Genomic DNA, 27,663 nt, shown 5'->3' on the forward strand with positions numbered 1-27,663 from the left:
ACCACCAGGCTAATTATTGTAGTTTTAGCAGAGACAGGTTTTCACCATGTTGACCAGACTGGTCTCAAACTCCTGACCTCAGGTGATCCACCTGCCTTGGCCTCCCAAAGTGCTGGGATTACAGGTGTGAGCCACCACGCCCGGGCTTGTGCTATTTTTAAACATTTAATTTTATGATAAATCCCATAGTAGGTTTTTTTTGGGGGGGTGGGGGTGGGGGCGGGGCGTGGAGTTTCGCTCTTGTTGCCCAGGCTGGAGTGCAATAGTGTGATCGGCTCATTGCAATCTCTGCCTTCTGGGTTCAAGTGATTCTCCTTCTTCAGCCTCCCAGGTAGCTGGGATTACAGGCATATGCTACCACACCCAGCTAATTTTGTATTTTTAGTAGAGACGGGGTTTCACCATGTTTGTCAAGCTGGTCTCGAACTCCTGACCTGAGGTGATCCACCCACCTCGGCCTCCCAAAGTGCTGGGATAACAGGCATGAGCCACAATGCCCAGCCTATAGTACTTTTTGTATTTTTTGTAGAGACTGGATTTCATCATGTTGCCCAGGCTGGTCTCAAACTCCTGGACTCAAGCAATCTGCCTGCCTCAAGCTCCCAAAGTGCTCTCACCATGCCTGGCCTCCTTTTCAGGTTTGATTAATTTGCTAGAGTGGCTCACAGAACTCAGGGAGACACTTAGGCTCACTTAGGCTATTGTAAAGGACGTTACAAAGGATACAAGAACAGCCAGATGAAGAGGTGCACCAGGCAAGGTGTGAGGAAAGGGCATGGAGCTTCCCTGCCCTCTCCTGGAAGCCACTCTCCCAGCACCTCCACATGTTCAGCAACTCAGAAGCTCTCTGAATTCTGTTCCTTTGGGTTTTTATGTAGGCTTCATTACCCAGGCATGATTGATTAGATCACTGGCCATTGGGGGTCAGCTCAACCTTCAGCTCTTCCTCCTTCCCTGGAGGATCAGTTTCAGAAATGAAAGTTCCAACCCTCTAATCATCTGGTTCACCTGGCAGCCAGCCCCCATCCTGAGGCTACCCAGGGGCCCCAGCCATTTGAGCTATGTGCCAGGAAACAGGGAGGAAGATGAAATATATATATTTATTATGAATCACAATATCATAATCACAAGATAAATATGTCCATTCTTGCCACTTCTATTCAACATTGTCCTGGAGTTTCTAACTAGGGCAAGTAGTGTAAACCAAAATGTGTCTGAGACAGGTCTCAATTTAGAAGTTCATTTTGCCAAAGTTAAGGACGCGCCCAGGAGAAAGGTACACCTTTCCCCAAAGATGATTTTGAGGTCTTCAATATTTAAAGGGGAAAAGTGGGCTGGAGAAAGGAGAGGGTCGCATGACTGAATCCACATGTTACAAGAGAAAGGGAGTAGGTAGGGGAATAGTCAATTATGTATTTGTCTGGCACTCAGTAAATTAGCACTTTATTTTTTTTAATTTTATTTACTTATTATTTTATTTTTTTTAAAAAAAATTTATTTATTTTTTGAGATGGATCTTGCTCTGTTGCCCAGGCTAGAGTGCAGTGGTGCAATCTGAGCTCACTGCAACCTCTGCCTCCCGGGTTCAAGCAATTCTCCTGCCTTAGCCTCCTGAGTAGCTGGGATTATAGGTGCCTGCCATCGCACCTGGCTAATTTTTGTATATTTAGTAGAGACCGGGTTTCACCATCTTGGCCAGGCTGGTCTCAAACTCCTGACCTCGTGATCCACCCGCCTCGGCCTCCCAAAGTGCTGGGATTACAGGCGTGAGCCACCGCACCCAGCCTTATTTTATTTTTTGAGACAGGGTCTCACTCTAGTTGCCCAGGCTGAAGTGCAGTGGTGCAATTTCTGCTTACTGCAGCCTCCACCTCCCAGGCTCAGGTGATTCTCCTACCTCAGCTTCCTGAGTAGCTGGGACTACAGGCACGCACCACCATGCCTGGCTAATGTTTTGCACTTTTAGTAGAGACAAGAGTTTTGCTATGTTGCCTAGGCTGATGTCAAACTCCTGGACTCAAGCAATCTGCCCACCTCTGCCTTCCAAAGTGTTGGAATTACAGGCATGAGCCACCGCGCCCAGCCTAATCAGCACTTTACATAAGATAAGGTGAACATAGAGTAGCTACTTGTAGAGATATTTAACCTTTTATCTGCAGCTATCTGCTTAGGAGCAAAAGGAAAGGCAACTTCTCGCAGGACTCAGCTTTCAGCTTAATTTTTTTCTTTTGGCAGAGTGACTTGAGGTCCCAAATTTTATTTTCCTTTCACACTAGACAAGAAAAAGAAGTAAAAGGCATCCCAGTGAAAAAGTAAGAGATAAAATTTGTCTGTATTCACAGATGACATGATCTTATATACAGAAAATCCTAAGAAATTCACTAAAAAATTATTTGGACCAATAAATGAGTTCAGCAAGGCTGCAGGATAGAAGATCAATATATAAAAATCAAATGTATTTCAATATGCTTGCAAACAACAATCCAAAAATGAAAATTAAAAACAAACCAAAAAAAAAAAAAAAAAAACCCAGTTCCACGGGGTGCGGTGGCTCACGCCTGTAATCCCAGCACTTTGGGAGGCCGAGGCGGGTGGATCACTTGAGGTCAGGAGTTTGAGACCAGCCTGGCCAACATTGTGAAATCCCGTCTCAACTAAAAATACAAAAATTTGCTGGGCATGGCGGTGGACGCCTGTAATCCCAGCTACTCAGGAGGCTGAGGCAGGAGAATCGCTTGAACCCGGGAGGCAGAGGTGGCAGTGAGCTGAGATCTTACCATTGCATTCCAGCCTGGGCAACAAGAGCAAAACTCCATCTCAAAAAACAAAAACAACAAAACAACAACAACAACAACAAAACAGTTCCTAGGCCAGGCACAGTGGCTCACACCTGTAATCTCAGCATTTTGGGAGTCCAAGGCGGGTAGATCAATTGAGGCCAGGAGTTCAAGACCAGCTTGGCCAACATGGTGAAACCCCATCTCTACTTAAAATACAAAAATTAGCTGGGTGTGGTAGCAGGTGCCTGTAGTCCCAGCTTCTCAGGAGGCTGAGGCAGGAGAATCGCTTGAACCCGGGAGGCAGAGGTTGCAGTGAGCCGAGATCACACCATTGCACTCCAGCCTGGGCAACAGAGTAAAAGTCTGTCTCAAGAAAACAAAAACAAAAACACAAAACCATTTCCATTTGTGATAACATTAAAAGGAATAAATTACCTAAACATAAATTTAACAAAATGAGCAAAACTTATACTTTGAGAACTGCAAAACTGACAGAAATTTAAAAAGATCAAAAAAAGTGGAAAATAATAGGCATTGGCAGGAATGCAGAGAAACTGGAACCCTCACATATTGCTGGTGGAAATGTAAAATGATGCGGCCACTTTGGAAGAGAGTCTGGTGGTTCCTCAAATAATTAAACAGAGTTACAATCTGGCCCAGCACTTCTCTGAAGGTATGAACCCAAGAGACATAAAAGCATATGACCACCTAAAAATTTGTACACAAATGTTTATAGTAGCATTTTCCATAATAACCAACAAGTGGAAATAACCTGTCCATCAACTGATGAATGGATAAAGAAAATGTGGTATATCCATACAATGGCGTATTACTCAGCCATAAAAAGGAATGAAGTACTAATACATGCTACAACATGGATGAACTTAGAAACATTATGTGAAGTGAAAGAAGCCAGTCACAAAAGACCATATATTATAGGATTACATTTATACAAAAGTCCAGAATAGGCAAATCTGTAGAGTAGATTTGTAGTTGCTCAGGGTTGGGAATGGGAGGTAGAGAGATGGATCAAGGTACAGGAGGATGACAGCTAACAAGTACCAGGTTTCTTTTTGAAGTGGTGAAACCATTCCAACATTGACTATGGTGACTGTTGCCACATCAACCCTGTGACTTAAAAACAATTTAATTACGGCCAGGCGCAGTGGCTCACGCCTGTAATCTCAGCACTTTGGGAGGTCGAGGCAGGCAGATCATGAGGTCAGGAGATCAAGACCATCCTGGCCAACATGGTGAGGAGATTGAGACCATCCTGGCCAACATGGTGAAACCCCGTCTCTACTAAAAGTACAAAAATTAGCTTGGCATGGTGGCACATGCCTGTAATCCCAGCTACTCGTGAGGCTGAGGCAGGAGAATTGCTTGAACCAGGGAGTCAGAGGTTGCAGTGAGCTGAGATTGTGCCACTGCATTCCAGCCTGGCAACAGAGTGAGACTCCATCTAAAAAAAAAAAAAAAAAAAAAGAAACAAAAACAAAAAGCAATTTAATTACATGCCTGAGTGGGTAAATTGTGTTGTATGTGAATTATATCTTTTTTTTTTTTTTTTGAGATGGAGTTTTCCTGTTGTTGCCCAGGCTGGAGTGCAATGGCATGATCTGGGCTCACCGCAACCTCCGCCTCCCAGGTTCAAGTGATTCTCCTGCCTCAGCCTCCTGAGTAGCTGGGATTACAGGCATGCACCACCACACCCGGCTAATTTTTTTTGTATTTTTAGTAGAGATGGGGTTTCTTCATGTTGATCAGGCTGGTCTCAAACTCCCAGCCTCAGATGATCCTCCCACCTTGGCCTCCCAAAGTGCTGGGATTACAGGTGTGAGCCACCGCACCTGGCTGTGATATATCTTTTTTTTTTTTTTTTGAGGTGGAATCTTGCTCTGTCGCCAGGCTGGAGTGCAATGGTGGGATCCCCGCTCACTGCAACCTCTGGCTCCCCGGTTCAAGCAATTCTCCTGCCTCAGCCTCCTGAGCAACTGGGACTACAGGTGTGCGCCACTACACCCAGCTTATTTTTGTATTTTTAGTAGAGATGGGGTTTCACCGTGTTGGCCAGGATGGTCTCGATCTCTTGATCTCGTGATCCGCTAGCCTCGGCCTCCCAAAGTACTGGGATGACAGGTGCTAGCCACCACGCCTGGCCCATGAATTATATCTTAATAAAGCCGTTAAAAAAATTGGAAGGACTGGGGAGAGTCCATAGATACCTTAGATCAACAAGGGGTCTGCTTAGAAGGCCTTTTCATAAGCATCGACCAAGATGATTCCTCTGGGCATCATGAATTTCCAGGCTTGGCCACAGTGATGATTATTCTTTAAGCAAAAATTCATTTATTTCTCTTCCTTGACCAACATTTATGTAGATTGAAATTTGATGTCAAGCCTCAAGCTGGGAGTAACAGGAGGAAGTGAGCCTCTGGAAACTGCTGTTCTACCGAGGACTCGTGATCGGCTGCACCTGGCTAGATTCTGGACTATCACTGCCCTTACCAGCCAGCTTCGGCCAGCTAAAGTCAGCTGCTCTTTGTGGTTGACATAAATTTCATTTGACATTTCTACTGACTTCAGAAACTTTTGCCAATAGAACATGTGATGGGGAGACCAGTATGAAATACTGAACCTCCTCCTGCACGCCTCCACGCCCTTGTGTAACCTTCTGATCATTATATATATATACACACACATATATATCAATCTTTATACACACACACATACACTCACACACACACACACATATATATATATACAGTCCCTTCAGTGACACAGCATCACCGTGACAGCCACTATAGCAGCACTTGCAACCTATCAGTGGTTCTTAATTCTGGCTACATCTTAGAATCACCTAAGGAGCTTTAAAAAAAATGGCAACGTGTGGGCTCCATCCCAGACAAATTGAAACCAAATCTCTTTCACAGGTAAGACCTGAGTATCAGAGCCTTTTAAAAGCCCTAGAGGTGATTCTTATGCACCATGTGGGGCTGAGAATCACTGTTACCAGGCAGGCAGTGAGGTAATGCAGTTCCCCTACTGAAGTGCAGGTCTGTAAGAACTTGGTGTGCCAAATGTAAATTCTCAAGGCAGGGATCCAGGCACTAAATAATGCCATCATTGTTTACAGTTCTGATGGGACCTAATCCATCATTTCATCCAATCTCCTTAGTTTTCACATGTGTAAATAACTCCAAAGATGTGAGTTGCCAAGGTTACCTGATTTGCTCTTCTCCCCAGAAGATCTGAGAGCCCCTTCAGGCTGGGACCTCACAGCAGGGCACTGCTTTCTGGCAAAAGCCCTCCCTCTCCTGATTGTCACTGGCCCAGCTTCAGGGGAAGGCGGCCCTTCTAGCACAATGCCAGATGTGGGCACCTTTCTAGCTAGGCCTCTCCTCACCCAGCTCAGCAGCCTTGCTCACCTGAGATGAATGCCTATCAAGTCACAGATGCCACCAAGAGGGCTGGTGCAGCATCACTAAGATCACACAGAATGTGCCGCTGTGATCAGGATGTGAGCTGCCCCAAAACAAGATGGGGCAACTGCATTTCTGGAACTGCCAGAAATATTAATTCATATCATTACTACAAGTTCCTTCTTGAAGACTTCTGAGTAGACACTGGTTAGTATTTACAAGGACATTAAAAACCTCCCTCGGAACACGAACTTTCTTTTGTGTACACGCTGCGGCTTTCTTCCTTTGCACCCTCTCCCAAGGAAGCAAAGCCAGACATGTTTCCTCAGCAGCTAAATGCTGTTATACCAGAAATTCCACACTGCGCCACAGGCTGATGGAACACAGGACGTGTGATTTGTTTCCAAAGTGGCAGACTCATAAAAGCTAAGCCTGTGCAGAAACACGCTGGGCATGCATAAAAAATAATGAGATCAGGGATGCCTCCGCAGGCAGGTATCAGAGCAGAGACAGAATCAGAATTGCTGTGCTGGAATTCGCTCAGAAGGTGCCTTTTACTAGTCCATTTAAGGCCCAAAGATAAAAAAAACAGCATTGATCTCCAAGGCCGCACAGCTAGAGGCAGAAGCAGGATGAGGCCATCAGAAAGGGTGGTGGCTGTTTCGGTCTTCCAATTCAGTGTTTTCCTCACAAATATCAATCCACCGCTTTTTAACTTTCCCATTTCTTTCAGTATTTTATTTTATATATGAATATGTTACCCTCAGCCCTAGGTGCTGGAGGCCCGCTAGTGTCTGCCAGTCAGAGGGAACACCATAGCCCCATGGGTGCAGCTGGCAAGGTGGCCCTACAACGAGGGGTCTCCTGAGCGAGCAGCCACCTTGCCCCAATTCCCACCAGCCTGCCCGTGGGCCACGCCTCTCTAGGTGGGCTCTGGGTGGTCTCCACGGAGCCCACTTGTCCTCAAGAATCCTGTGCAGCCAGCTGGCTCATTTAGGGATTTAGGCAACACATTTGCTTCAGTGGGAACACAAGGAAGTCCTATTTTCAAAGTCAAATAGCCTACAGAGCTTTAGTGAGGCATGTGTGTGTGTATGTGGAGTGGGGTGGAGAGGAGGATGGCAGGCTAAGAGGCCATCCAGGTTAAAATCGATTTTAGAGTTGGCTGAGCTGAGAAGGTTGCAACCATCCTGTCAGCACCAGGTCCTGGGGCCCTGCGGACTTGTTTGTCGGCATCCTGGAGCATAGCCCAGAGAACTTGTTGAAGAGCATCTTGATGCTGCTTGCAGGACACCTCCCCTTTCATAGAGGAGTTAATCTACACTAAGACCTGCTGGCCACAGGCCAGACACGGAAAGAGGCAGAGCCTGGCACTGCTCCGGCTCAGTGTGAACATGCTCATAGCTGGAAGGGAGGGTTCATAGCCCACAGCTCTCTAGTGTTTGTCAAACCCTCTCCCATCTCTGTACTGTTCCCAAGGATAGCACATTCCCCATTGGTCCTTCTCTTTTGTTTCAATTTTTATTTCAAGATCCAAGTTACATGTGCAGGATGTGCAGGTTTGTTACATAGATAAACGTGTGCCATGGTGGTTTGCTGCAGAGATCAACCCATCACCTAGGTGTTAAGCCCAGCATCCATTAGCCATTCTTCTGATGCTCTCCCTTCCCTCACCCTCCCCACGACAGGCCTCAATGTGTGTTGTTCCCCACCATGTGTCCTTCTGTTTTCATTGTTCAGCTCCCACTTATAAGTGAGAACATGTGTTTTGTTTTCTGTTCCTGCATTAGTTTGCTGAAGATAATGGCTTCCAAATCCATCTATGTCCCTGCAAAGGACATGATCTTGTTCCTTTTTATGGCTGCATAGTACTCCATGGTGTATATGTACCACATTTTCTATCATTGATGGGTATTTGGGTTGATTCCATGTCTTTGCTATTGTGAATAGTGCTGTAGTGAACATACAGTCATGTATCTTTATAATGGAATGATTTATATTCCATTGCGTCTATACCCAGTAATGGGATTGCTGGTTCATACGGTATTTCTGCTTCTAGATCTTTGAGGAATCATCACACTGTCTTCTCCAATGTTTGAATTAATTTACACTCCCACTAACAGTTTAAAAGTGTTCTTTCTCCACAACCTCACCAGCATCTGTTGTTATTATTGGCATTCTTTTTTTTCTTTTTCTACTTTTTTGAGACAGAATCTCACTCTGTCACCCAGGCTGGAGTGCAGTGGTATGATCTTGGCTCACTGCAATCTCTGCCTCCTGGGTTCAAGCTGTTCTACTGCCTCAGCCTCCTGAGTGGCTGGGACTACAGGTGTGTGCCACACGCCCGGCTAATTTTTGTGTTTTTAGTAGAGACGTTTCACCCTATGTTGGCCAGGCTGGTCTCAAACTCCTGACCTCAAGTGATCCACCAGCTTTGGCCCCCCAAAGTGCTGGGATTACAGGTATGAGCTACCACACCTGGCCAATAATTGCCATTCTGACTGGAATAAGATGGTATCTCATTGTGGTTTCAATTTACATTTCTATAATGATCAGTGATGTTGAGCTTTTTTTCATATATTTGTTGGCTGCATGAATGTCTTCTTTTGAGAAGTATCTGTTTATATCCTTTGCCTACTTTTTAATGGGGTTTTTTTTCCTGTAAATTTGTTTAAGTTCCCTGTAGACTCTGGACATTAGACCTTTGTCAGATGGATAGACTGCAAAACTTTTCTCCCATTCTGTATAGGTTGTCTGTTCACTCTGCTAATAGTTTCTTTTACTGTGTAGAAGCTCTTTAGTTTAATTAGATCCCATTTGTCAATTTTTGCTTTTGTTGCAATTGCTTTTGGCGTTTTCATTATGAAATCTTTGCCCATGCCTATGCCCTGAATGGTATTGCCTAGATTTTCTTCTAGCATTTTTATAGTTTTGGGTTTTACATTTAAGTCTTTAATCCATCTTGTGTTAATTTTTGTGTAAGGTGTAACAAAGGGGCCCAGTTTCAATTTTCTGCTTATGGCTAGCTGGTTTTCCCAGCACCATTTATTAACTAGGGAATCCTTCCCCCATTGCTTGTTTTTGTCAGGTTTGTCAAAGATCAGATGGTTGTAGGTGTGCAGTCTTATTTCTGAGTTCTCTATTTTGTTCCATTGGTCTATGTGTCTGTTTTTGTACCAGCACCATGCTGTTTTGGTTACTATAGCCTTGTAGTATAGTTCGAAGTCAGGTAGCATGATGCCTCCAGCTTTGTTCTTTTTGCTTAGGATTGTCTTGGCTTCTCAGGCTCCTTTTTGGTTCCATATGAATCTTAAAATATATTTTTCTAATTCTGTGAAGAATGTCAATGGTAGTTTAATGGGAATAGCATTGCATCTATAAATTACTTTGGGCAGCATGGCCATTTTCACGATATTGATTTTTCCTACCTATGAGCATGGAATGTTTTTCCATTTGTTTGTGTTCTCTCTGATTTCCTTGAGCAGTGGTTCTTGAAGAGGTCCTTCACCTCCATCAATCCTTCTCTTATTGGACACAGTTATTTCAACATGGAAGGGGGACAGGTAGGTGGTGGGCACACTCCTCAGAACACTGTTGGAGTTGGCTGGGTCTTAGGTGAGTTTTAAAAGCCAAACCCCAAGGGTGCGCCTTGTACCCCACCACTGAGCTTACCCTGGGTCCTGCAGTGAGCTGGCAAGGCACCTGCAGTGAGATAAAACCTTGAAACTCAAATTGCCGGTTTTCTCGCCAGCTTTTGCACCCCTCCTCCCAGAAGCTTCAGGAAGCCAGCCTGCCTCCAGGGAAGTCAGGACTTTGTGGCAGGACTACAAAGATAACAGAAGAGGGAATGTATGGTCTTTACTTCTGAGACTCCAAAAGTAGGGAGGGCACGGAGGTATGCCAGGCCAGGGGCAGTCGGGTCTGGGCACCCTACCCCCAAAGGGGTTCTTGGACTAGGGTAAGCGAAAGCAGTGTTAGGCCTCCCCTTGGGGGAGGTGAGGCAAACCTGAGTCAAACAAGGTGGGAGAACAGGGTGATCAGAGGCTGCTGGCACCTTGGTGGCAGTGCTTACTCACTCATGGGCTCCCTCTGTAACTACTTGCTGAGTGGCCACCGTGTGCCAGGCTGCTCTAGATACTGGGGATTCTGCAGTGACAGAACAGACCAAAGCCCCTGCTCCCCTCAGAACACATCCCAGGTGGGAGGATGACAGTGAACACAGGGGTGACTTCGCCCTCCCCTCCCTCTTGGTTGTTCCTCACTTGCAGGAGGAGGTCCTCCCACCTGAGCCCAGATACCTCTTGGGGCCCAAGTGTACTCCTGGATGCCTGAGAGCTCCACATCCACTCCACAGGGTGAGGGTCTTGATGCCAGAAAGTGGAGGGGGTGGAAGAGAAGGAGCTAGTGCCTGGTCACGATGGCCTGGACAGGGGAGAAACCCATGGTGCTTGGGTATCAATAACCACCTTATCCAAATTGCACTTCACCATGGTGCCATGGACTTTCATTAGTGGGGAGATGAACTCCCTCCCTGTAGGCTGGCATTTCTTGCTGCTCTCATGCCATCCTGGGGCTCTGTGGGAAGTAGTGGTATTTTTAACTGGGACCATGTTCAGGACCTCTATCACCTCATTTTGTCAGTCTTCTTGCTGAGGACTCTCGGGAGAAAAGTCACTGTTACGGTGCCAGAAATGGTACTTTTTCTGAATGCTGCTTTGAGTTTCATATTTTTATACTGCAAGTTACAAAACTGAGGTTGTATCTTTTTTCTTTTTTTTCTTTTTTGAGACGGAGTCTTGCTCTGTCACCCAGGCTGGAGTGCAGTGGTGTGATCTTGGCTCACTGCAACCTCTGCCTCCCGGGTTCAAGTGACTCTCTTGTCTCAGCCTCCTGAGTAGCTAGGATGCCAGGCATGTGCCACCACACCTGGCTAATTTTTGTATTTTTAGTAGAGAGAGAGTTTCACCACATTGGTCAGGCTGGTCTCAAACTCCTGACCGCAGGTGATCCACCCGCCTTGGCCTCCCAAAGTGCTGGGATTACATGTGTGAGCCACTGCTCCCAGCTGAGGCTGGTTTTTGTTTTTGCTTTTGGTGTGTGTGTGTGTGTGTGTGTGTGTGTGTGTGTGTGTGTTTGTGTTTTCCACCTGCAGAACGGAGGTGGCCGGGTGCAGTGGCTCATGCCTGTAATCCCAGCACTTTGGGAGGCTGACGCAGGCGGATCACTTGAGGTCAGAAATTCGAGACCAGCCCGGCCAACATAGCAAAACCCTGTCTCTACTAAAAATACAAGAGTAGCGGGGTGTGGTGGCTTGCACGCCGGTAGTCCCAGCTACTTGGGAAGCTGAGGCAAGAGAATCGCTTGAACTCTGGAGGCGGAGGTTGCAGTGAGCCAGGATCGCACCACTGCACTCCAGCCTGGTGACAGAGCCAGATCCTATCTCAATAAAAACCCCCCAAAAAACAAAAAACAAACGAACAAACAAACAAAACAAAACTGGAGGTGATGATGCCCCCTCCAGGATCCCTTTGTGAAGGGTGAAGATTATACAGGCAGGGTCCGTGTCGCAGAGGAGACCGTTTCCAAGGAGGCTGTGTGATCATTAACCACTTTCGTTACTAGGCTACTAACAAGCTGCATGATCCTGGTCAGCTTCCTAACCTCACCAATCCTGCTAACCAAGGAGTCTTCGAGTTTTTTTAGTTTTTGCGTTTTACATTTTCCCAAAGTCCTGTGGCTAGGAGGGGCTGAAACAGGGCTAAATGTGCAAGTGCTCTGGAGAGTGGGGAGCCACACCCTCCGGCCCACCGCAGGAAATCCACCCACTGAGAGGGAATGTGGTCGGGGATAGGCTTGGAGAACCTTTGGGGCCTCCCAGGAGATCCCAGTGGACAGAGGCAGGGAGGTGCCCTCACACTGGCTGCATGCCACTACATGACATGCCCTGTTAATCAATTACCTCAGGAGATGGTGCTTGGCTCCTGCCAACCTCAGAGCTGCATGCTGAGACTGAATGAGAACTGGCTAGATGGAAGCCCTAACTTCAGGGGGCTACAGTTGGAGGCGCGTGGGGGTCAGGCACCATGTACTGCCCTGGTGCTTCCTAAACCACAAGCACTGTGCATCACCTTCACGGTTTCTGCTCTGATACCTAAACTGGTAGTTTCTAATACCTCCCTCGAAATCAACTCACATCTTTCACTATGACAAGAAAACAAGCAATGTTCTAATACGTTAAGAAAACACTTAAATATTAAAACAACAACGAACTGTTTACCTATGGGGTAGTCTACCCCATATCTTACTTGATAAACACCAGAGATACAAATAACCTGTGGGAAACGATGAACTTTTTGAAGGGATGCTCACCACAGTTCCATGAGATAGGTTTTATCTTTCCTATTTTTCAGATGGGAAAATGAAGGTCAAGATTTGAAGTCTTACTTAAGGTCACCTAGCTAGTAGTGGGTGGAGCTGGGACTCCAAGCCGAGTCCGTATCCTGGAAGTCTGTGTCCTTTTCACTACATGTACCTGCTCAATGGATCCTTTATTCCTGAAAACCTATTTTACATAGCACACCTGCACATGGGGTGAGATGACTGATTTGCCCTCTCACAAACTCCCAACACAACCGGAGGCTCAGGTCCAGCGAGTCAGTGATGGCCACCCCTCTACAGAGAGCACATCTGATGATGCCCTGGGGCACAGAGGGCATCCAGTGCTCAGAGTGGCCTCATGCTAACTGAAGGCTTAGTTTTTAACATCTCTGGACTCTTCGAGGCAGAATAATTAATCCAGATGCCTGCTTACCCAGGGCTTCCCTTTGGCCATGGCACTAAGAATGACCTCTTAAAAATACCTACAGTATGTTTTTATGAGAAATATTAACTTCTAAAGATGTCTACAATGTCTACAACAGTATGTCCCAGCCCACATGCTCCCTAGAACCTTGCCACTTCCTTATCAAGAGGCAAAGTCTATGCTCCTTCCCCTTGAAAGAGGGCAAAACTTTGTGCTCTGTAGACCAAGAGGTTACTGAGGAATTGACACTGACTTCCAAGGCCAAGCCATGAACCTACCATGCGAGTATGTCTTACTCTTTAGTGATGCTTGCTCTTGGAACCCAGCCACCATGCTGTGAGGAAGCCCAATAGCCTGTAGAGAGGCTCGCATGGAGAAAAAATAAGGCCCTTGTCACACAACCTCTGCCTTGCCTCAGAAGCCAGCAGCAACTTGTTAGCTATGTATGTAAGCCATCTCTAAAGTGGCTTCTTCAGGCCCAGTCAAGTTCCCCCAGATGACACAGCAAGTGGCAGAGATGAGCTGTCCTCACTAAGCCTTGCCCAAACTGAAGATTCATTAGCAAAATAGATGATCGTTGTCATTCTAAGTTAGTATGTTGTGGGGTAACTTGTTAATCAGCAATAGGTAACTGACACGGATACTACTAAATACAGTAAATAATACTATTTTTTATTTTTAAAAAATTTATTTTTTTTTATTTTTTGAGATGGAGTCTCGCTCTGTTGCCCAGGCTAGAGTACAGTGGCACGATCTTGGCTCACAGCAACCTCCGCCTCCTGGGTTCAAGCGATTCTCCTGCCTTAGCCTCCCGAGTAGCAGGGATTACAGGTGCCCGCCACCGCACCTGGCTAATTTTTGTATTTTTAGTAAAGAGGGGTTTCACCATCTTGGTCAGGCTGGTCTCGAACTCCTGACCTTATGATCCACCTGCCTTGGCCTCCCAAAGTGCTGGATTACAGGCATGAGCCACTGTGCCCGGCAATGCTAGATTTTAAAGAATATATATACAGTGGTGTGCTAGTAAAGGTTTGGTTCTCTAGATCGAAAAGGAAAAAAGCCCCGATTACTGATTTCTGTGGTGTAAATGCTCCCATCATAGCTGATTTCAAGCTTTCAGTGGTTTAACAGTCAGCTTGCTAAATTCCTGAGAATTTAACATTCGGTACCATCTGGCTCAAGCACACCACTGTATGTGTAGTAAAAGGATTAAAAAATGCAGGGCAGACAAAATCCCCAAATGGCTGGAGAGCATTCAGCTGTTACTAGCCTTTTTGGACACAGCATAGATTTAACAGCTCTGCCATGTGAAGATAGCTGCTGACATTGCAAGAGGGAGGAGCACACTGCCCTGGGACTCCCAGTCCAGCAAAGCCAGTGCTGGAAGGCCACAACTTTCCAACTTATTTTTTCATCTCTGACCAGCAGACGTTCCTTCACGTAGGAGAAAGGAACTCTATTTTGTAGATGGGTTGAAAACATCAATATAAAAGATATTTACTTCTGGTTCCAAATGGCACACACCCAAACATGTTTTCATGACAAAACAATTTCTCTAATTCTATTTGTATTTTTCTCATTTAAAAAATACAAAGCTGGCTGGGAGCAGTGGTTCATGCCTGTAACCCCAGCACTTTGGGAGGCTGAGGCGGGCAGATAACTTGAGGTCAGGAATTCGAGCCCAGCCTGGCCAACATGGCGAAACCCCATCTCTACTAAAAATACAAAAATTAGCTGGGTGTGGTCACTAATCCCAGCTGTAATCCCAGCTACACGGGAGGTTGAGGCAGAAAAATCGCTTGAACCTGGGAAGTGGAGGTTGCAGTGAGCCGAAATCACGCCACTACACTTCATCCTGGGCGACAGAGTGAGACTCTGTCTCAATTAAAAACAAAAACAAAAACAAAACACTATTGGAGATGTGGTAAAGGTAACTGAAGACCAGAAAGGAAAACTCCCAGGTGTCCTGGCTGAAGGAAGGAGGGAAGTGCAGTGCGGTGGTATATTAGTCTGTTTTCACACTGCTATAAAGAACTTCCCTGAGACTGGGTAATTTATAAAGGAAAGAGGTTTAATTGACTCATAGTTCCACATGGCTGGGGATGCCTCAGGAAACTGACAATCATGGTGAAAGGGGAAGCAGGCACCTTCTTTACAAGGCGGCAGGAGAGAGCATGTGAAGGAGGAACTGTCAAACATGTATAAAACCATCAGATCTTGCCAGAACTCACTCAGTATCAGGAGAACGGCATGGGGGAACCGCCCCCATGATCCAATCACCTTTCTCCCTCAACACGTGGGGATTACAGGTCCCTCCCTCAACACATGGGGATTACAATTTGAGAAGAGATTTGGGTGGGGACACAGAGCCAAACCACATCAGGTAGATTGTGAGGTTGACACCTAAGCCCTGGCCAGGAACATGTTATATCACTTTGAGGAAAGGTTCAGAGAAAGAGACACCTTATTGTCCATCACATGGGCTTTGAAAAGCTGTTTCTTTGGATGGTTTGAATAAACCTCTTGCTGATCTGCTTGTGCTTTCTAAGAGGTGTTCCTCTAAAGATGTAAGAATAAAAAGTGAGTTTACTCCAAAGAGCATCCAGTTGACTTGGTCCCCTTTGAGGCTACTTCAGAAAGAAGAATGACTAGCTTCAGCCCTTCCTCCAGTGTCTCCATGACCACAGAGGAAGGGATGTGTAAGACGGAAAACTGGATGACTTGTAAAAGTTAACAGAAGTGAAGCAGAGACAGAGAGAAGTAAAATGCATTCAAGAGGTATTCAGTTTGGGGACTGCCTTAGTTCAGCCTGCTATAACAAAGTACCATAGATTGGGTGACTCATAAATAACATATATTTCTCACATTTCTAGAGGCTAGAAGTCTGAGATCAAGATGCCAGCATGGTCTAGTTCTGGTGACAGTCCTCTTCTGGGTTGCAGACAGCTGACTTCATGTGTCCTCACATAGTGGAAAAGTTGAGGGATCTCTCTGGGGTCTCTCTCTCTCTTTTTTTTTTTTTTTTTTTTTTTTTTTTTGAGACAGAGTTTCACTCTTGTTGCCCAGGCTGGAGTGCAGTGGCGCAATCTCAGCTCACCACAACATCTGCCTCCCAGGTTCAAGCGATTCTCCTGCCTCAGCCTCCCAAGTAGCTGGGTTTACAGGCATGCACCACCATGCCCAGCTAATTTTGTATTTTTAGTAGAGACAGGGTTTCTCCATGTTGGTCAGGCTGCTCTTGAACTCCCAATGTCAGGTGATCTGTCCGCCTTGGGCTCCCAAATTGCTGGGATTACAGGTGTGAGCCACCGCGCCCGGCCAAGGGGCCTCTTTTATAAGGGCAGTAATCCTTACCACTTTATTACCTCCCTAAATGCCCCACCTTCTAACATCTTCACCTGGGGTTTAGGATTTCAACATATGAGTTTTTGGGGACACATTCAGTTTATTTGCAGCAACCAAAGGAGAAATTAAAAATTAGTGTAAAATTTAAACTTTTGTGTATCGGGAGTTGGTCCAATAGTAGGAGAATTAGTTGGAGTAAATATTGGAAGATGACCCAATATTTGAAACATCTTCCAATGGATTCCATGTGTCCAATTCAAATAGCTCAATTTTTAGTTTTTTAATTTTTTTTTTTCTTTTGAGATGGAGTCTCACTCTGTTGCCCAGGCTGGAGTGCAGTGGCGTGATCTCAGCTGGCTGCTACCTCCGCCTCCCAGGTTCAAGCAATTCTCTTGCCTCAGCCTCCAGAGTAGCTGGGACTACAGGTGTGCACCACCACGCCTGGCTAATTTTTGTATTTTTAGTAGAGACAGGGTTTCACCATATTGGCCAGGCTGATCTCGAACTCCTGACCTTGTGATCCGCACTCCTTGGCCTCCCAAAGTGCTGGGATTATAGTCGTGAGCCACTGCGCGCGGCCACCAGACTGGTCTTGAACTCCTGACCTCAGGTGATCCCCCCAGCCTCGGCCTCCCAAAGTGCTGGGATTACAGGCAGGAGCCACTGCGTCTGGCCTGTTTCATTTCTTAAGCTGGAGGGTTTGATACTTAAGTATTTTTCTTCTTTCTCTTTTTCTTTTTTTTTTTGGCGAGGAGGGCAGGGTCTCACTCTGTCACCCAGGCTGGAGTGCAGTGGCACCATCATGACTCACCACAGCCTCCACCTCCCAGGGCTCAGGTGATCCTCCCACCTTGGCTTCCCAAGTAGCTGGGACTACAGGCTCACACCACCATGCCCAGTTAACTTTATTTATGTATTTATTTTTTGTAGAGACAGGGTTTTGCCATGTTGCCCAGGCTGGTCTCAAACTCCTGGGCTCAAGAGATTCACCCGCCTCAGCTTCCCAAAGTGTTGGGATTATAGGCGTGAACTAGCATGCCTGGCCATAAGTGTATATACTATTCTTTATTCCCTTTTGAATGCTGTGAGTAAAGTATTAATTAATTGCAGGCCTAGATCCTGGACAGACCTAGGCCACCTTCTCACAACACTGTTTGCTTGAAAATGTATCAAGTTTATTGTGGAAAAATGTACGTTGGGAACTGGTCACCTGCTTTGTTTACTGTGAAGCCCTTGGTCTGTGGGACTGTTCCTGCCCTGGGAATGCGCACAAGCCTGGAGCCTCCATCACAAGGAGAATATAAAAGACTCGTGGGAAACCAAGGCAGGGACTTCCCTCTTTCAGTATGAACCACATACACCTTCATCTTTTTTTTTTTTTTTTGAGACAGAGTCTTGCTCTGTCCCCCAGGCTGGAGTGCAATGGTGTAGTCTCGGCTTACTGCAACCTCCGCCTCCCAGGTTCAAGTGACTCCTGCTTCAGCCTCTCGAGTAGCTGGGACTATAGGCACATGCCACTGCACCTGGCTAATTTTTATTAGAGAACCGGGTTTCATCATGTTGGCCAGGCTGGTCTTGAACTCCTGACCTCGTGATCCGCCCGCCTTGGTTTATGTAGGTTTATGCAGGCAATCTTGGAAACAATGGCAACAAGACTGAATTGGAACAGACTTTTGGCTACTGTGGACCACTCTGAAGTGTGTGGGTTGCTAGAAACCCTCCTGGCTTTGCTTTTGTTGAATTTGAAGATCCCCGAGATGCAGCAGGTGTGGTCTGAGAACTAGATGGAAGAACACTATGTGGCCCCTGTGTAGGAGAGGAACTGTCAAACGGTGAAAAAAGAAGTAGAAATCATGGCCCACCTCCCTCTTGGGGTCATCGTCCTTGAGATGATTATTGTAGGAGGGGTCTTCCACCTCGTCGCAGACCTCCAAGAAGGAGAAACTTGTCTTGTAGCCGGAGCAGGTCCCTTTCTGGAGTTAGGAGAAGAGAGAGATCGCTGTCTCGGGAGAGAAATCACAAGCCACCTGATCCTTCTCTAGGTTTCGTAGCCCATCTAGGTCAAATGAAAAAAAAAAAAAAAAGCTGACTCCATCTGCTACTATAAGGATTATTCACAATCGAATGGAATTTTACCATGGAATGCAAAGATGTTTCAACAGAAGAAAATCAATCAATGTAGTACATCACATTATTTGAACAAAAGAAAAAAATCACATTATCATCTCAATTGACATGGAAAAAGCATTTGAGGAAATAACACCCTTTCATAATAAATACTCTCAGCAAATTAGGAACAGAGGGAAAATTTCTCAACATGATAGAGTGTGTTTCTGGAAAACTTACAGCTAACATTATATTCAATGGTAAAAGACTGAATGAGTTCCCCTTAAGACAAGGGACAAGAAAAAGATTCCCACTGCTATTTGACACTGAATTGAAAGTTCTAGCCAGACAAGAAAAGTCGTGGTGGCTCGCACCTGTAATCCCAGCACTTTGTGAGGCCAAGGTGGTTGGATCCTTTGAACTCAGGAGTTTGAGACCAGCCTGAGCAACATAGTGACACCTTGTCTCTACAAAAAATACACGAAAAAACAAAAAATCAAAAACAAAACTGAGCACGGTGGCATGAACCTGTAGTTCCAGTTACCCAGGAGGCTGAGGTGGGAGGATTGCTTGAACCCGAGAAACCGAGGTTGCAGTGAGCCAAGATTGCACCACTGTACTCCAGCCTAGACAACAGAGCCAGATCCTGATAAAAAAAAAAAAAAAATGTCGGCCGGGCGCAGTGTCTCATGCCTGTAATCCCAGCATTTTGGGAGGCCGACGTGGGCCGCGGGCGGATCACCTGAGGTCAGGAGTTCAAGACCAGCCTGGCCAATATGGCGAAAACCCGTCTCTACAAAAAATGCAAAAATTAGTCTGGCATGATGTCGGGTGCCTGTAATCCCAGCTACTTGGGAGGCTGAGGCGGGAGAATTGCTTGAATCTGGGAGGTGGAGGTTCCAGTAAGCTGAGATCATGCCATTGCACTCCAGCCAGGGTGACAGAGAAAGACTCCACCTCAAAAAAAAAAAAAAATCCAAATATAAAGGAATAGGTGAAACTATTTCTATTTATAGATGATATAATCCTTTGTATACAAAACCCCAGAGAATCCACAAGAAAGCTCAGAGCTAATAAATGAATTCAGCAAAGTTGCAGTGTACAAAATCAACACACAAAAACAAATTTTCTATACACCAGAAGGAAATTAAGAAATTCCATTTACAATAGCATCTAAAAAATTAAATACTTAGAAATAAATCTAACTGAAGAGGTGAAAGATTAATACACTGACAACTATAAAAGATAAAAACTACAAAAAAATTAAAAAGATCAAAGTAATTGAAAATACATTCTGTGTTTGTGGATAGGAAGACTTACCACTGTTAAGATGTCAATACTACTGAAAGTGATCAGCAAATTCAATAAAATCTCTTCTAAAATTCTACAGTCTTTTTTTTTTCCCACAAATGGGGAAGCAGATCCTCAAATTTACATAAAATTGAAAGTGACCCTGAATTGCCAAAAGAATCTTTATAAGGAAGAATAGAGTTGGAAGACTCACACTTTCTGATTTCAAAACTTACTACAAAGCTACAGTAATTAAAACAGAATAGCATTGGCATAAGGACAGACATATCCAATGAACTAGAATAGAGACTCAGAAAAAGGTCTCATGTATATGGTCAATGGATTCTTTCTTTCTTTTTTATTTTTAATTGTCACATAATGATTGCACATGTTTATGGGGTACAGTGTGATATTTTGATACATGTATACAAAGTTTGATGCTCAAATCAGGGTAATTATCATATCCATCACCTCAAACATTTATAATTTCTTTGTGGTAGGAACATTAAAAATCTTCTGTTCTAGCTATTAAAAATATACAATAAATTATTGTTAACTATAGTCACACTACAATGTTATAGAGCATTAGAACGTTTTCCTTCTATCCAGCTATAATTTTTTGTCCATTAACTAACCTCCCACTATTCTTCCCACCTCCCTGCCTTTCCTAGCCCTTAATAACCACTATTCTACTCTTTACTTCTATGAGCTCAACTTTTTAATCTTCCACATATAAGTGAGAACATGTGGTATTTATCTTTCTGTGCCTGGCTTATTTCAGTTAACATAAAATCCTCTAGGTTCATTCACGTTGTTGTAAATGAGAGAATTTTATTTTTTATGGCTGAATAGTATTCTACTGTGGTTATAGACCACATTTTATTTATCCATTAATTTGTTGGTGAGCACTTAGGTTGATATCATATCTTGGCCATTATGCATAGTGTGGCAATAAACACAGTAATGCAGATCTCTCTCTCTCTCTCTCTTTTTCTTTTTTAGTAGCCATGTGTTAGCCATTTTAATAGAAAATGTGATCAAAACTTGATTACAAGAGTTCAAAAAGAGAAAAACCAGTGAGTTTCAATTTTATTACAAGTTTTTAAATCTGGGACTAGTTAAAAAAAATTTTTTTTTAACTTAAATGCTAACTTCAGCCCAGGGTTTTTTCACAATCAAACTAAAAATTACTTACTACATGAGAAAATCAATGCAACAAACAAGTAAATTTTGTAAACTCAAGCCACAAACTTATAGTTAATAATCACAGTAAGAGACATTGCCAAAGAGCAACTGATGCCTCAGTGAAGTTTGAAACTCTGCCTTCAGTGAAGGCAGAGAAGAAATATGCAAGCAATTCCGCTTCAGAGAAATTTGCACAGAAATGGAAAATACTAGAACCTTTAACACAAGTGAAATTGCAAAGCCTCAACATGTTCAACTCAGTCCACAGAGCACCAAATGTTAAATTGGAGCCAAGGTAGGATTAAACATTGAATTTCCAGCTATGCAACTAGCAGAGCACAATTTCACGTGTGGAAACCATCTGCAGGCAAGTTCTTTTAAAAACATGAATTTCATACACCGTAAATTCTAAAACACACACTTCTGCATTATTGTTCGAATTTCGGAAGGGCACCACAAAGCATCAGGGTCTTTCAAAGTCACGGCAACAATTGTATCTTTTTTCCCAGCCTCGGTAGCCCCCTTCTGTGGTTCTCTAGCCTCTGCACGCACTGCAGCACATCACTGTTTGTAGAATAACTTCTGACATTAAATCCAGTCGTGGCCCAAGTTGCATGAGGCAGCTATTTCCCAGGCACCTTCCATTTCTTTGGCATGGGAGGCTTCTCAGCCACTTCTTCAGGCCCCACTCAGGACGCCACATCTGGAAGCACTATTCCTCCAGCTCCCTCTGCTGGAGACCAAAGTGACAGATTGTTGCAAAGACTTGTAGAAACACATTACTTACACATTAATTTTTGTACACATTTAGTTAATTTAGAACCTGGGACTTTTACAATCGATTCCCCAAACCCCTTTATGGAGAGTGACGGACTACGCAGCAACGCCGAAGCAGCACAGTTTCTCTCTCTAGGAGGAAGAGGATTAGTAGACGTGATTGTGCCTCGAGAGAAATTTGTACTAAAAAAAATCAAAGTAAGACGAATGGCCCAGAAACCCGCGTTTTATTGACACTGTCATTTTCCCAGAGAATCTTAGAAAGATGTCACGTTTTGTTTTAATGAATGAGAGGAGCCCACTTGTATCCCTGAATCATTCTTTGGGAAAAGCAATAGAAATGATTGACAGTTAAATTTTTAAAAATAAAATGGTCACTCCCTTCAGCCCACACCTCCACACCCTCAAGTGCCTGCCCAATGGCTGTCAGTTCCGTCAAGTCACCTTCTCCTACTCTAGTACTACCACAAGAATTGACATTTTCAAGCTGAAAAAAAAAAAGAAGTCATGTTACAAATAAGTGAGTGGAGGCCCAAAGGAAGCCCTTTGACTATGATTTCCAATTTTCTCTTCAATCAATACTGCAGAGATACAAGGATAAACCACCATTTTGGTTCCCAAGTTTTATTCAAGAACTCATACAAAATATTCCAGACAAACGAAATTTAATCCTCGTCTTCCTCCTCTTCTTCGTCCTGGTTAATTTGGAAGGAACGTAATTTGTAACTCTCTTTGCTGTTAGCAACTATGCACAACCAATCACGAAGATTATTCTTCTTCAAATATTTTTTGGTGAGATATTTCAAATACCTTTTGGAAAAATGCACCTTGGATGTCACGGTGATCTTGCTCTTGCTCCTTTTGACGGTCACCACCCCTTCGCCAAGGTTCCCAGCTTTTCCGTTCACTTTGATCCTTTCTTGCAAAAACTGCTCAAAATTGGCAGCATCCACGATTCCATCTTCTATGGGGTGGGTGCAACCAAGAGTGAACTTCAGAACCTGCTTTTTTTTTTGCCCGCCTTCTCCACAAGCTTTCTCGCGGGCACCATGGCAGTAGTGGAGGCAGAAAGCCAGATATCTCTTTAACGTACTGATTTTCTTTTCTTTGGATGTATATCCAGTGATGGGATTGCTGGATCATATGGTAGTTTAATTTTTAGTTTTTTGAGGAACCTCCATACTGTTTTCCACAGTCGCTGTACTAATTTACATATCCACCAACAGTGTAAAAGAATTCCCTTTAATCTGCATCCTCTCCAGTATTTGTTATTTTTTTGTGTTTTTGGTAATAGCTATCTTAACTGGGGTGAAATGAAGTCTCATTGCAGTTTAGATTTGCATTTCCCTGATGGTTAGTGATATTAAGCATTTTTTCTTATACTTGTTGGCCATTTGTAGATCTTTTGAGAAATGTCTACTTAGATCATTTGCCCATTTAAAAACATTGGGTTATTTGTTGTTGTGTTTTATTTGCTGTTATTTGAGTTCTTTGTTTATTCTGGATATTAATCCCTTGTCAAATGAGTAGTTTGTAAACAGTTTCTCCCATTCTGCAAGTTGACTCTTTACTCTGTTGATTGTTTCCTTTGCTGTGCAGAGGTTTTTTAGTTTGATATAATCCCATTTGTCTATTTTTGTTTTGTTGCCTGTGTTTTTGTGGTCTCATCTGTAAAATCTTTGCCCAGCTCAATGACCTAAGCATTTTCCTTATGTTTTCTTCCAGTAGTTTTGTAGTTTTGCATTTAAGTTTGTAATCCATTTTGAGTTTATTTTTGTATATGGTGAGAGATAGGGGTCTAGTTTTATTCTTCTGCATATGGATATCCAGTTTTCTCAGTACCATTTATTTATTGTTTTTTTATTTATTTTGAGATGGAGTTTCGCTCTTGTTGCCCAGGCTGGAGTGCAATGGCGCGATCTCAGCTCACCGCAACCTCTGCCTCCCAGGTTCAAGTGATTCTCCTGCCTCAGCCTCCCGAGTAGCTGGGATTACAGGCATGTGCCACCATGCTAATTTTTGTATTTTTAGTAGAGACAGGGTTTCTCCCTGTTGGTCAGGCTGGTCTCGAACTCCCAACCTCAGGTGATCTGCCCACCTCAGCCTCCGAAAGTGCTGGGATTACAGGTGTGAGTCACTGCGCCCAGCCTATTCATTGTATTTCTGTGGTATCACTTGTAATGTTGTCTCCTTTTTCACTTCTGATTTTATTTATTTGGGTTTTCTGTCTCTTTTTGTTTGTTGATAGTTTCCTTTGCTGGGTAGAAGCTTTTTAACTTGATGTGATCACATTTGTCCATTTTTGCTCTGGTTGTCTGTGCTTATGGCATATTACTCAAGAAATTTTTGAGTAATGTCATGTCCAATGCCCTGGAGAGTTTGCCCAGTGTTTTCTTGTAGCAGTTTCATAGTTTAAGGTCTTAAATTTAAGTCTTTAATCTATTTTGGTTTAATTTTTGTTTAAGGTGAGAGATAGGAATCAAGTTTCATTCTTTTGCATATAGATATCCAGCTTTTCCAGCACCATTTATTGAAGAAACTGTTTTCTCCCCAATGCGTGTTCTTGGCACTTCTGTCGAAAATGAGTTCACTGTAGGCATGTAGATTTGTTTCTGGGTTTTCTGTTCTGTTCCATTGGTCTATGTACATGGTTTTATCCAGTACTATGCTGTTTTGGTTACTATAGCTCTGTACAGGTAATGTAATTCCTCCAGTTTTGTTCTTTTTGCTTAGGATAGCTTTGGTAATTCTGGGTCTTTTGTGATTTCATATGAATTTTATGATTGTTTTTTCTATTTATGTGAAGAATGTCTTTGGTATTTTGATAGGGATTGCATTGAACCTGTAGATTGCTTTGGGTAGTATGGACATTTTAACAATATTAATTCTTCTAATCCATAAATGTGGAATATCTTTCCATTTTTTGTGTGTCCTCTTCAATTTCTTGCATGAGTTTTCATTGTAGAGATCACTTCTTTGGTTAATTCCTAGGCATTTAATTTTATGTGTGGCTATTGCGAATGGGATTACTTTTTTAATTTCTTTTTTCAAATTATTTACTGCTGCCATATAGAAATGCTACTGATTTTTGTTTTTTGATCTCATATCCTACAAATTTACTGGATTTGTTTGTCAGTTCTATTAGATTTTTGGTGGAGTCTTAAGGTTTTTCCAAATATGAGATCATATCACCTGCAAACAAGGATAATTTTACGTCTTCCTTTCCAATTTTGATGTCCTTTATCTTTTTGTCTTGATTGCTCTAGCTAAGACTTCCAATACTATGTTAAATAACAGTGGTAAAACTGGGCATCCTTGTCATCTTCCAGATTTAAGATAAAAGGCTTTTAGTTTTTCCTTATACAGTACAATACTAGCTGTGAGTCTGTCATATATGGCTTTTATTACCTTGAGGTATGTTTCTTCTATACCCAGTTTTTTTTTTTTGTTATAAAATGTAATTTTATTTTATGTTACTCTGTTACTCTGCTGTTACATGGGGCATAACATTTTCTTTTCTTTTCTTTTTTATTTTGAGATGGAGTCTCACTCTGTCGCCAGGCTGGAGTGCAGTGGCATGATCTCGGCTCACTGCAATCTCTGCCTTCTGAGTTCAAGCGATTCTCCTGCCTCAGCCTCCCAAGTAGCTCCGGGACTACAGGCGCAGGCCACCATGCCCAGCTAATTTCTGTATTTTTAGTAGAGACAGGGTTTCACCATGTTGGCCAGGATGGTCTCAATCTCTTGACCTCATGATCCGCCTGCCTCGGCCTCCCAAAGTGCTGTGATTACAGGCGTGAGCCACTGCGCCCGGCCAAGAAGACACAACAGTCTTTAATGTGTATTTGAGTAACAACAAAGCATCAAAATATAACTGCAAGTGGAAGTAGATGAATCAATTATAACATGTGGAGGCTTCAACACCCCTCTCAGAAATGAACAGATTCAGCAGGCATAAAATCATAGGGATATAGTTAAACTTAACAGAACCATCAATTACATGAATCTAATTGACATCTAGAGACTACTTCATCCAAGAGCAGGTTACATATTCTCCAGCTCACATGAAATATTCCCCAAGGTAGACCACATTCTGGGCCATAAAACACACTTCCACAAGTATAAAAGAATAGAAAAAGTAGAAATCATACAAAGCATGTAACATTTTCATTAAAGATATTAGTAAAATTGATAAACCTTTAGTCAGGCTAATCAAGAAAAAAGAATAAAGACACAAATTACTAATATTAGAATAAAAGAAGAGTGATCAATATTGACCCCAGGGATGTTTAAATGAAATTTAAAGAGTAATAAAGGAATATTTTAAACAACTCTATGCCTATAAATTGGATAACCTAGGTAAAATGGACTAATTTATTGAAAGAATCATGCAAGGATGATCTGAGAAGGTCTACATCTGTTTTAAAAATTGAATCCCTAATTAATAACCTTCCAGAACAGAAAGTACCAGGTGCAGTTGGTGTCACTGTTAAATTCTATCAAATATTTAAGAAAAAATTGTACCAATTCTCCATAGTCTCGTCCAGAAAATAGAAGCAGGAAACACTTCCTAACTCATTCTATGAGGCCAACATTACCGTAATACCAAAAACAGATAAAGGCATTACATGAAAAGATAACAACAAACTAATATCTTTCATGAATATAGAAGTAAAAATCCTCAACAAAATGGTAGTAACTCAAGCCTAACAAAGTTAAAAGAAGAAATATACACCATGACCAAGTGGGACTTATTCCAGATATGCAAGCCTGTGTTAACATTTGGAAATCAGTTAATCTAACCAATTATGTCAACAGAATAACAATAAAAGTCATGATTATATGAATAGATGCAGAAAAGATACTTGACAAAATTCAGTACCCATTTATGATAGTTGTCAGCAAATCAGGATTAGGGGAGAACATGGTCAACTTGGTAAAAAGCATCTATAAAAACCCTAAAGATGGTCGGGCTCGGTGCCCCACGCCTGTAATCCCAGCATTTCAGGAGGCCGAGGCCGGCAGATCACTTGAGGTCAGGAGCTCAAGACCAGCCTGGCCAACGTGGCAAAACCCCATCTCTACTAAAACTACAAAAAATTAGCTAGGAGTAGTGGTGGGCACCTGTAATCCCAACTACTTGGGAGGCTGAGGCTGGAGAGTCACTTGAACCCAGGAGGCAGAGGTTGCAGTGAGCTGAGATCACGCCACTGCACTCCAGCCTGGGCGACAGAGAAAACTCTGTCTCAAAAAACTAAAAAATAAAAAACTCTAAAGCTATCATCATACTTGATGAGAGACTAGACGCTTTCACCCTAAGATTAGAACAAAGGAAATGTATCCCCTCTCCCCACTACTATTCAGCATTGTATTGGAAGTTTTAGCTAGAAGAATAAGATAAGAAGAGGAAGTAAAGGTGTATTGATTAACAAAAGCAAAACACTTGTCTCTTTACAGATGACATGATTGTCTATGTAGAAAATCCCAGAGTCTTGACAAAAGTACTTCTGGAACTGTTAAGTGATTACAGTAAGGATGCAGATTACAAGGTTATATACAAAAGTCAATTGCTTTCTATATACCACCAATGAACAATTGGAATTTAAAATTTAAAACACAATTCCACAAAAAGGAAGTACTTAAAAATCTTAAAAAATATACAAGATATAGGCCAGGGGAGGTGGCTCACACCTGTAATCCCAGCACTTTGGGAGGCCGGGATGGGCGGATCACCTGAGGTCAGGAATTTGAGACCAGCCTGGCCAACATGGTGAAATCCCGTCTCTACGAAAAATAGAAAATTAGCCGGGCATGGTGGCAGGTGCCTGTAATCCCAGCTATTTGCGAGGCTGAGGCACAAGAATTGCTTGTACCTGGGAGGCGGAGGTTGCAGTGAGCCGAGACCGTGCCATTGCACTCCAGCCTGGGTGACAAGAGGGAAACTCCTTCTCAAAAA

At 43.4% G+C, this 27,663-nt stretch overlaps 1 protein-coding gene, 1 long non-coding RNA gene and 2 pseudogenes across 2 annotated transcripts in view; 3 read left to right on the forward strand and 1 right to left on the reverse strand.

Annotated features, from left to right (window-relative positions):
• RANBP2 (RAN binding protein 2) overlaps positions 1-27,663 on the forward strand; it is a 1,122,820-nt gene that overhangs the window by 995,282 nt on the left and 99,875 nt on the right. The gene's annotated exons all lie outside the window — the stretch shown is intronic.
• On the forward strand, positions 4,748-5,353 carry LOC107985774 (uncharacterized). Its single transcript, XR_001739114.1, has 2 exons — positions 4,748-4,786; positions 5,162-5,353. It is a non-coding gene; the product is annotated as an uncharacterized LOC107985774 (long non-coding RNA).
• On the forward strand, positions 17,538-18,579 carry SRSF3P6 (SRSF3 pseudogene 6; annotated as a pseudogene).
• On the reverse strand, positions 20,746-22,779 carry RPL22P11 (ribosomal protein L22 pseudogene 11; annotated as a pseudogene).

Source organism: Homo sapiens, chromosome 2 (assembly GCF_000001405.40).
Source record: "Homo sapiens chromosome 2, GRCh38.p14 Primary Assembly".
NCBI classification, from domain to species: domain Eukaryota; kingdom Metazoa; phylum Chordata; class Mammalia; order Primates; family Hominidae; genus Homo; species Homo sapiens.